Below are 11904 nucleotides of genomic sequence, written 5' to 3'. Positions count from 1 at the left end.
CATAATTCCAAATTGGTTCAAATGCACTTAAAAGCTTCCCAGTGTATGAAGTAACTATTCATTGAAAGGATTAAAATTAAATTAATTAAATTTTAAAAAGTTTAAAATTCTCAGTCACACTAGCCAGATTTCAAGTGCTCTGTAGACACATGTAATTAGTGGCTACTATAATAAATAGTGCAGGCACAGTCACTTAGAATTAAGAAGAGTCTGAGTCACAGCACGCTGTTGGTGTGGATAAGAAAGAGTACTAACTTTAAAGTATGAAAATTTAAGAGGAAATAACAGAATAACTTGCATTACTTGCCTAATATAATTCTGAACAATGTTTCTCAAATTTTAGTGTGAAAAAGTTTTCTGGAGGAGTTACTTAATAGTACTTATTTCCTCTCTTTAGCACTGTTCCCTCAGAAATTCTGGTTTGGAAATTCTACAGTGGGGCTTAGAAAACTGCATTTTAGTTGATTCCTCCTCAGATCATTTTGGACTAAACTTTGGGAAATAGTGCCCTCCAGAATTTAACTGTATGATAATCAGTTTCCAGTCTTGTATCAAATCTTTATTGAGAAGCCAATGTTTTCTGGCATTGATTAGGCAATGCTAATTCAGTATCATTACCTGTGGTTCATTAATGGTACACACCTGCACTCAAAACTCAGGGTTTAAAATCTTGACAATATGTGAGGAAAAACTTTGAAGTTCTCAGATCACTGAAAACACAGCAAATGTTAAATTGTCTAAGACAGAAGTTATTTAAAAATCAAGTCTACTGCTAATTTGCTCTCGGGTTGTCAGTATTCAAGCAGTGGCTATGCTTCTATCCAAAGACATTTTCTTGGACTACATTTACAGAAAGTCCAAGAGAAGTCATGTTCTTAACAACAGTTGGAGGTTATTCCAATGTGAAAAAATAATTATTGATGTTTTGATTATATATAGTGGCATTTATTTTGTTTTATATTGCTTTATTTTCTTTCCACAATGTGTAAGCTTGCCTTATAGACACAAACTTGTCTCACTAGATCTAAAATAAAGTTTTCTGTTTTGCAAAACCTGCTTTTTCTTTCCTTCCTTCCTTCCTTTCTTTTCTTTTTCCTTCCTCCCTCCCCTCCCCCCCTTTCTTTCTTTTCTTTCTTTCTTTCTTTCTTTCTTTCTTTCTTTCTTTCTTTCTTTCTTTCTCTCTCTCTCTCTCTCTCTCTCTCTCTCTCTCTCTCTCTCTCTCTCTCTCTCTCTCTCTTTCTTTCTTTCTTTCTTTCTTTAGTCCTGCTCTGTGGCCCAGGCTGGAGTGCAGTGGTGTCATCTCGGCTCACTGCAGTGTCCACCTCCCAGGTTCCAGCAATTCTCTTGCCTCAGCCTCCCTAGTAGCTGGGACTACAGGCACACACCACCACACCAAGCTAATTTTGTATTTTTAGTAGAGGTGGGGTTTCACCATGTTGGCCAGGATGGTCTTGATCTCCTGACCTAGTGATCCACCCACCTTGATACCTGTTATTTCTTAATGATTTATCATTCAGTCTTCAATCATAATTATTCTTACAAAAAAAAAAAGAGAAAGACACTAAAGGAAAAAAAAGCTTTGTTGTTTAGACATTCCTATGTATGACTTCATTTAAAAATGTATGTGTGTCAAGGTTACTTGATTAAAATTTAATGAGGAAAATTAAATATCTGGAAAAATAAGTAAAAGATATAATTGGTGATCATGGGAATCTGAGTGGCATTCTTGGAGAAATTTTTCTGTGAATCTCTACAAGTACTAATGGGAAACTTAGTGTTTGAGAAACATCTGATAGCATCAACACAGTATCTCATTGCTATGACATTCTGTCATGCGCTTCCTAGATAACACACCCTTACCCCTCATCAAAATAAAGTGGCAGCATTCAGGATAAAGTGTGCCTTGCTTCAGAATGGTCCTTTCTGAAAAGAAGTTAAATATTATGTGACAGAAATCTCCATTGGCTGTAGCAAAATTGGACTAAAGGCTCCATAAAACTATATCTTGTACGAAACATTGATACAAGATATGTGCCACAGATCGGCTGAGAGTCTTAGAAAACTCCCTTAGCTCACCAGCTGGGTAGGAGAGATTGGCTTCGAATAGGACAGAATTACCAGCCCACATGGAGCTTCATGGCTGAAATCTATGCAGTTCTTTACTGAACATGTAACTGAAGGAAGCAGTGGCTTTATTTCTTCCATGTCAGGAAACTCACTCCTCCAGCCTGACACATCCATCTGACATATTTCAGTCCCCTTCATCCATTTATTTGCCAATCTTATGTAGGCAGTTACTGTGGTTTACCTCTTGTTTCATACCCTGAAACAAAAATAGGCATATCTGAGTTTTCATTGCCTTAAATCTACTTACAAGTTGATCTATTCCTGGAAAATCATCCTGCACAAATCGACACCCAGACTATGCTTCATTTAAAATCAGATAAGAGAAGTTATTCTTCAGGATGCTAATAATGGGGAAAGTAAAGAGTGGAATAAAGTCAACTTCTTGTTAATGTTTAGGAATATGGAAAATACATTTTCAAGTGTGACCAATAATTATATTTATTCTTGGAATTCACATAGCTGAAAAGTTTTATAGATATATTCCAACTGAATGTCATTTCTTTTGCCTCATTAGAGTATTGAAAGGGAAGAGATGGAAGTTGTTTCAGATGCTCTATGTCAACAATTGCATTAATTAACCCTATTTTGATAATGTATTTTAAACATATTTCATACTTGTTCAAAATTAATAATCAGACATTAGTAATTCTATCAAGTTCAGAATTCCTTCAGGTATTTCCATATGTAAATACAAGGATAAGCCAATCCTACTTGACTGTTTCTGTCAAGACACTGGTTCTCAGCCTCAGCAAATCCAGGGAAACTGTCTCCTTCCTTCGATGATTCACTCTAAACTGTCAGCATGTGCCATTTGTTAGACATCAGTAAGTTAAGCCTTCAGGACACAAATAAAAGCATCTAGGGCCAAATCTTTTAAGAAGTTCATAGTTGAGTGGATAAGTCAAGCAAGAGAACAAATAGTAATTGTCATTGTGATAGGGACAGGAGGCAGAGAAATTCTAGGCAGAAAAGGGCGAGTCCCTGGTGACAACCCCACCCTCAAGCCAAAAAGCCTGAAACCGCAGCCCAGAGTGAGAACTTACATTCCTATATTCCCGCTTGAATGTTGCCTTTTCCTAAACGACCCGTGGCCCTGCCCTGCCCCATCCTGTGCCTATAAAGACCCCAAACTCAGCTGGCAGAGAGGAGAAGCAGCTGGACATCAGAGACTATGGCTGGATGTCAGAACGAAGCGGCTTGACTTCAGAGTGACAGCTTGATGGCATAACTTCGGAGAAGAATCCAGCTGGAGATGGGTAGACTTCAGGGGAAGATTACTTACCCCCGTCCCCTTTTCAGCTCCCCTTCCTGCTGAGAGCCACTTTCATCATTGGCAATAAAATCCCCTGCATTTACCATCCTTCATTTCACTCATGTGACCTCATTTTCCCTGGGTGGCAGACGGGAACTCAGGAGCCACGAGTGAAGATACAAAATGCTGTCACACTGGCCCTTTGCCGCCACTGGCGTCTGGAGGGCAGTTTTCCCATGCGATGAGGCAAAGTGCCCACTAAGCTGTTAACACCTCAGCCACTCACGGTTGGCATAGCTAAAAGAGCACTGTAATGCGCCCTCTGGGGCTTCCGGAGTTGCAGGTACCTCTACTGGACGGTGCCGCAGGACCCACACAGAGTTCGCTCCTGCCGGCATCAAAGTGGCCATCCGGTTCCAGCGCTCGTGCACTCCAGTTCCCGCCTTGTCTGCTCGCACGCTCACTCCTGCAAGGAATTGAGAGCAGCGGCCTGAGTAAACGAGGCACTCCCCTGTTGTGAGTCCCGCGAAGGGGTCAGGGAAATACCCTGCTTCATCTGGGGCTTGTCCAAGATTCGGCAGAAGGTTGAGTAAATGAGGATCTGCCGGATCTGTCTCTTCACTTTTTTCCAAGACGTCTTGTCCTCAGACTTTCCTCTGAGCTATGCCATTTTCAGAGAACAAGATGCAACTCTGCCACATCTCTCTTTCTTTCGGGTGAAAGGAAAGTTGGGTCTGTTTCCCTTCATGGAAGTCTAGCCAACGCGTGGGACCAGAATAAGTCCCGGGGCAACTGAAGGCATCTAGCCAAGGCCATTCCTCAGTGTAGCTGGAAGGCTCCTGGACTGGACCTTGTTCCCGATCGCCCATTAAGGCATGGGCCAAGACCCCTAGACTTTTCTATGGTATCTTTCTTTTCTTCTTTCACAGTTTGAAATGGCTCCTATTTCTTCTTTTATAATGTTAAGGGTTTTGCCACAAACTGCAGAAACGTTAGTAGGTAGAATAAGCATTTGGCCCAGCAACCAGATATGCAATACAGAACAATGTGATTTCCATTTGTTCTTAGAGGTGCGACCCTGACCCCAACCCCAACAACTGCAGGTGCCCACTGTGCACAGTGGCTCCCCTTCTCGCCTCCTCCTCTCTTGGCTGAGGCTCTTGGGCACGTCCGCAGCTGTGCCCAACAGCCATGCAGGGCGGGAGAGAACCCTGGCTGCCTCCAAGGCCCCAGGCAGTCTCAGGGCCAGGGACCTCACACGACTAGTTGGCCAATGTTTTCTGCTCACTGTCCCCGTCCCGCAATGCTCCCATAGAGTCTTTCTTCCCCTGGCTGAGGGGTCTAGCTTGGTCCAGAGGAAAGATACAACAATTAAAGGAACCCATTTGCATAGAGCAAGTCCCTGCATTGCACTTAAGCTGTTTTTCTCTTTTTCCCTTTTCTGTGTGAGAGAGTTTTCTTTCCCACCTTAGCACTCTGCTTATGGTAGGTAAACAACAAAGGAGTGACCCCACTGGCTAATAACTGCAAATTTGGCAAGGCCCGTCTGGGACTTAATCTAAATTAATCCATGCACCCTCTGAGACACCTTTTTTTCCAAACTAATTGTAAACTTTGGTTGAAGCCCAGGAAGGGAAAATGAGACCCGAGGGATCCAAAGCCAGACACTGAGCAAAGTGTAAATGGGCAGGACTAATTCTTGCTGATTAAGCCCCCCCTTCATGGAAGGAAGTCATGCTCCATGGCATAGGTAAGGCCCTAAGGAACCCAAAGGTGGCCAGCAGTAGGGGGGATGGAGGCGTATGTGAATGCAGGTAACTCCTATTTTCTAGGCCCTCCCTGCTTCACAGGTGCAGGCCACAATAGCACCCATGGGTGGCATCCATCTAAGGTTGCTGGGACTCAGGAATAAAATGATGGAAGAGAAAAGGGAGATGCCTATTTTCTTTCTGCTTACACCCTGAGTTTTCACTGAAAGAGGGAAAGAAAATTAGGGATGCCTATTTCCCTCTGTCTCAGAATGGGCAACCAACGTTCCCTCCCACGAGGAATTGAGAGTGGTGGGCTGAGTACATGAGGCACGCCTGTCGTAAGTCCTGCAAAGGGGTCAGGGAAATATTCTGCTTCATCGTGCACTGAAAAAAAAATGTTTACAATAAGGTTTGGAAGATTTGGGACTGGTTCATAGAAATGTTTCAAATTAAGGGAGTAGAAGTTTTCCCCATAGTGCTAACTAAAAAGGCATTCCAGACAGAATAAATGGCAGTTACAAAATAGAGTTGACAGCTATAGTATGTTTTTAAAAATGCACATAGCTCAAACAGCAAGAGTGCAGAAATGCATTCAGGAGAATCAAGAGAAATGAGATGCAGCTGAAGGCCTAGGCTGTAGTACTGAGGGCCATAAGCATCATTCAAAGTGAACTAGATTTCATCCTATAGAAGATGATACATGGATGAAGGATTTTAAACAGGGAAATAATAGCTTGAAATTTCTAGTTCAACCAGATTATTTAAGATTTGTATAGAAACTATAGTTACTGCAATCACAAAGAAATAGGTTTTAGTTCCACAATCCCTAACTCACTTTCTTTTTCTGCTTTTCGTCGCTTGGTTCCAGTTCAGGGGCTGATAATAAAAATTCTTAACTAATTAAGAATAGAAAGAAACTCAATCTAAAAAGGGCATCCAAGGAAAACTTACAGGTAGCATTATAACTCATGGTGAAAGGCTGAGTGTTCTTGTTCCAAGATCTAGAACAAGGCAAGAAAGTCTCACCAACCCTATTCAACCTTTCACTGGACATCCTAGCTAATAAATTAATGCAAGAACCGTAAAGTTTACATAGGAAGTAATAAAAGTTTCTCTTTTCAGATGACATGGTCTTTCAAAAAGGAAGAAACAAAGTGTTTCTGTTTGCAGATAACATGTTTTTCCATGTAAAGAAAAATCCTAGGGAATAAAAAAATGGAAGCTTATAGAGCTAACAAGTACTTTTACTATGTTTAGTATGTCTATATGATAGTGAAGAAAAGTACTTAGACATACCAGGCCCATGAATTGAAAGATTCAACATTAATAAGATGTAAATTTTCTCCTAAGTTATTATAGACTCAACTTGACCTCAATCAAAATTCTGACAGGATTTTTAAAAATACATTGATAAACTATAAAATTTATTGGCAATTTTAATGTCCTATACTAGCTGAAACAGTTTGAAAAAGAAAGGCAAGTTATGCTATATAATTTATGTGCCTAGCATATAAAAAGTGAATTGTATATATTCATTAAATTAAGGAGTACACATCACATTTATTAAATTAAGGAGTACACATGTCTTACTATTATCAAACTTCACATTCACTTCTGATAGGAAAAATGAATCGTGAGAACAGCAAGTGATGATATAGAATGAAGTAGGAAATTAAGACAATTAATAGATTTTAAATTCTATTGAATTTGAGACAGACATATTATCAGGTGGTTGGTAGCTTTGCCATTTGTAGGTTAATATCAATTTTTTTTCATAATTTTGTCTTCAAAAATTTAAATCAATATTATACTCTTTCATAGCCAGTCCTATATGTTGTTGCTCTTCTGAAGTATTTAAAGGTGCAGAAGGTATAAAATTTTTTTTTTGAGACGGAATCTCCTCTGTTGCCCAGGCTGTAGTGTAGTGGCACGATCTTGGCTCATCGCAATCTCCGCCTCCCAGTTTCAAGTGATTCTCCTGCCTCAGCCTCCCAAGTAGCTGGCATTAAAGGTGCCCACCAGACCCAGGTAATTTTTTGTGTTTTTAGTAGAGATGGGTCTCACCATGCTGGCCAGGCTGGTCTCAAACTCCTGACCTCAGGTGGTTCACTCGCCTAGGCCTCCCAAGGTGCTGGGATTACAGGCGTAAGCCACCACGCCCAGCCAAAAGTATTAACTTTTGAGATATAATAGTCATTAAAAGTGTTAAAACAGTTAAAACTAAATCAGTCCATACTGAGATCTCTAAGCATGGCTAACCTGTGAAAGGTAAAGAATTAGGGAACCTGAGGAGACATTCATCACCTCATATAATCAAAGTTAAAACAAATGATCTCTTAATCCAGTCTATCATTGTTGGACGTTTGGGTTGGTTCCAAGTCTTTGCTATTGTGAATAGTGCTGCAACAAGCATACGTGTGCATGTGTCTTTATAGCAGCATGATTTATAATCCTTTGGGTATATACCCAGTAATGGGATGGCTGGGTCAAATGGTATTTCTAGTTCTAGATCCCTGAGGAATCGCCACACCACAATGGTTGAACTAGTTTACAGTCCCACCAACAGTGTACCCGGGGACTGTTGTGGAGTGGGGGAAGAGGGGACGGAGAGCATTAGGAGACATACCTAATGCTAATGATCAGTTAATGGGTGCAGCACACCCCAACATGGCACATGTATACATATGTAACAAACCTGCACGTTGTGTGCATGTACCCTAAAACTTAAAGTATAATAATAATAAAAAAAAGAAAAGAAAAGATCTCATAATTAGAAAACAAAGACAAAATCAAATATACAAAAAATTATTTTCTTAGGCCCAAATTCAAGTTGTTGAACTGATTAAGTGGAAATAAACAGATGTCCATATGAACTTTCTTTCCAGAAACATAATCTCTTCATTTTCATTGTGTTTAGCAAGCTTTTTACTATGCCTATCTGCTTCTAGTCTGATCATCTTAGCCTGGAGATTATTTCACATAATTTTGCTAATGACTTGGAAATTTTCCAAGTAGCTGACAAAATATGCTAATTATTGTTGATCTTAGCCTAGCAAAGGCACCTAATGAGGAGAAATTGTCATCTCTTCTACGAAAGATATTAACCAACAATGGGCTAAAAAGTAGGTACTCCTAAATTGCCATCATCACATGTTAAAATGAGATTTGCAAAAATTCTTTTCCACCTCTCATAAGCAGTAATGCCTTTCAGAATTATAGGCTTATTTCATATATAGAAACTAAAGCACAAGGAAAAATTTACTCTAACTTGGAGGGTTTGTTGATTCTGGATGGAAACCTGTCATTGGGGAAAACAGAGGCAATTTACATTACTGATGTCAACATTTTCAGTGAGTTATTATTTGAAACCTTTATTGTGTTTTGTTTTGCACTCATGTCCAGAACAGTAATACAAGCTGAAAAAGAAAGGGATAGGGCAAAACAAAAAGTCCCAGGAGATTTGCAAAGAGAATCTCAAACAAATGAGATGATCAAAGTGGAAATAACAAAACAGAACAAAACATTTTGTGAAATACCAGATGAGAAAGGATTACTGAGAGAAGACTGAAAACTATGAACGGTTGAACAGGTGAAGGCAATATGAGAGGCAGTCGACCCTGAGTGAGAGGTCCAGTAGATCCCTGAGTTGAAAGAAGAAATGCAAACACCCCCAGACTCCAAAACATATTAGGAGTAGGCATGTAGAGAGTGATGGTGGGAGGAGGTTCTGAACTATTTCATTTAGACCCTAATAACCACTTTATTCACCTGGAAGCGTTGATGTTTCTCGGCAACTCTCCCTATGGTTCAAATATTTGATTTTCTTCCTTTGAACTGTCTGTGATTAAGACAGCTAATCAAATACTCCAGGATAAAAATAGTGACTTCAGTAAACAAATATGTCTACAACCAGTAGTGGCCCATGTGATTTAATAGCAATTTCTTCTACATTCTGAAAGATAGGACAAGATTGTGAGCATATTTCACACTGAATCACCAGCTCTCTGAAGTTCCTGTGTTACTTATAGGTTTGATATGACTATTAAATTAACTAAAGTAACTAGTATTTGTTTATAATTTGTATTTTCAAATTATAAGCAAATAGTAATATTCATAGTTTTCTCAAATATTTGCTATAAATTTCACAACAGCTCTAGTTGTGAAATTATCCTAATTGTGCATGTAAGGAAATGGTGGCTCTGAGAGATGAAGTTGCTTTTTTGCAGTTATGCAGGTATGCAGTGTGAAAGCCAGGTTCAAACACAGCTGAATTTCCTTTATTTACTTTAGGACAACACTCATTTCCTTTCACCACCTCATCTCATGTTTTTTGCCCTTTGCTTGATGGTGTATAATCTGAACTTTACCCAAAACTGTTGCTCTAATTTTTCTTGGAGTATCATCAAAAAAGAATTATCTCTTGATACTAAGGAGAAATAATTTCAGAGACACTAATGGATTTTAAATTCCTTCAATCATTAAAACATACACTCTTCCTTAAATGGCTGTAAAGTCTAGCTGAAAAAAAAACAATGAAACTCTCAGACACATAAAGAAAACTACTGCATGCAGAAAAAGAAAGTTCAGTGCATATCAATGGTATGAGATAAGCAAGGCTTATTCTCAAACAGCCTCTTTTGGTGCATTAAGTTCATGACCCAGCAAAGTTATAATGACATTATTACAGAATTTTTTGCTAGTTCCTGAATTGTTAAAGCTGTATATATAGTGATGGATGAAAGGGCCTTTTGTATCCATAACTTTTCTCCTTTTAAACAGTAAGTTTGTTATTTGGCAATGCTCATAAACTGACCTCTTTACCATATAAATGCAAATTTATTTCTCTTCAGTGTATCTTAAACAACAAAAGAAGCATATATAATATAATCCAATAACATTAGCTGCATCCACTCTATAATTGCAACTTCATTATGATATGGTCACCCAGTTCATGTTTTGTCACCTGCTTTTTGAAGCAGTTCAGCCCATCTTTGTAATATTCTGAGTAAAAGAAAGTTCTTTTTTATATTGAACTGAAATCCAAATGTCTACAGTTTCTATCCCCACGGAGATACTCAAGACAAATCTTCTGGTAGGCATTAATGCTTTTTTCTTAGGTCTCATTTTTGTAATTCATCTAATTATAGCAACCAAACATACAAACAAAAAACAAAACACAGAATTTAACACAATATTTTTATTATTAAAAATAAGAAGTTTTTTGTTTCAAGAATGTTGAAGCGTTTCACAGACTCAAGGAAAAAACTGAACCTCTATGGAATTTAGCAAGCCTGAAAACCAGGGAAGCTCCAGACTGCTGGCTAGATAATTTTGAAGAACACTGCATTCCTGCTTCCTCTTGAAGGATCTTGGCCTCCTTTACTGTTTTAGAAAACAACAACCTTTCAGAAAATTCTTAATGGAAAGGACATTCTTTCCTTTATTTTCTAAATTTTTTCCCATTTCCCTTCTGTTTCTGTTCAAAGTAATATATGAACTGCTTCACTCTTCCAATGCAGGTTTTCTACCTTTCTTTGAAAAACCTTCAAATAAAGCAAAAAATAAATAAATAAAAATTAAAACAAAACAAAACAGAAGTCCTCTTTATATCCATTGAAGGCCCCTGTTAAACGCATCAAAAAGTCTGCAGTCAAAAAATAAAATGTGGTTTGGAAAAATTTATGAATTTTTAATACATTAAGCATCTGTCAGTGACTTGTATAAGCAATTACAGAAAATTGATGTCCTTGTAGTCAAAAAATGATTGTGATATATCATGAATTCCTTGGTGTTCAATTTTTCTCACTTTTCTTTCCACAAGTATAGATTGATTTTTATATAGATCGATTCTGCCAGGTAAATTTATCTGAGGCTTGTCATAAAGTTTTGTCATTAAAATTGTCTATTTTATCCTCATTCCATCTGTTCATCTTTGCAATCTGAAGTTCATAACCTGTGATTTAAGTTTTCCTTCTATTACTTTATTTTATAAAACTATGTACATTAAGTATCGAAAGAACCCTGAAGTCACTTAGTTCAGGCTATTTACTTTACAAATGCAAAAATTGAGCTCCACAGAGAGTAGATTTCTTGCCCAAAGTGGTGCATTTGGGATGGGGGTCCACTTTTTGTATTTACTTAGCATTCTTTCTTCAACACCACTCTTTCTATGTTACATAGTGTATATGTAAAATTCAAAGCATAAAAACAGATGATTCACATAACATCACTTGAATCCAAACTTGTTAACTATCGAACACGTGAAAATGGCTGACTACTCACCTCATCCTCATCTTCTGGCTATGACTTCACTAACAGTGCTGTTGTTCAAGCCTGAGCAAATATGATAGTTAATAGCAAAACAAAACAAAACAAAACAAAAACAAAATCTATGGCAATTGAATAAGAAACCATGGAAAGTTTTTTTTTTTCCAACTTTTTGAACCAGGGCTTACATTTTTACTGTGCACTGTGCCCCAGAAATTGTATAGCCAGCCCTGAATGCAATTCAAGTGGAGGACAAGCTTTTGAGGAATGAACTATCTATAGCACACATAATAATTCAGCTTAATGATGATAATTGAAAACAATTGATGCAAGTACTGTAATTTCTGACGAAACTAGAGCGTATATACACACACACACAAAAAATTCAATGCCTAACCAAAAGCACAAAAGGAAAATTGGAGGACCTCTCTAGCAATGTTTAAAAGTGATTTAACTTCAGTAGTATATATGACTGAAAATCAATCCCATGACTTGAAGATAAGTTTT

This window comes from Homo sapiens, chromosome 11 (assembly GCF_000001405.40).
Source record: "Homo sapiens chromosome 11, GRCh38.p14 Primary Assembly".
Lineage (NCBI taxonomy): Eukaryota > Metazoa > Chordata > Mammalia > Primates > Hominidae > Homo > Homo sapiens.
Note: the sequence above shows the minus strand (reverse complement) of the source record.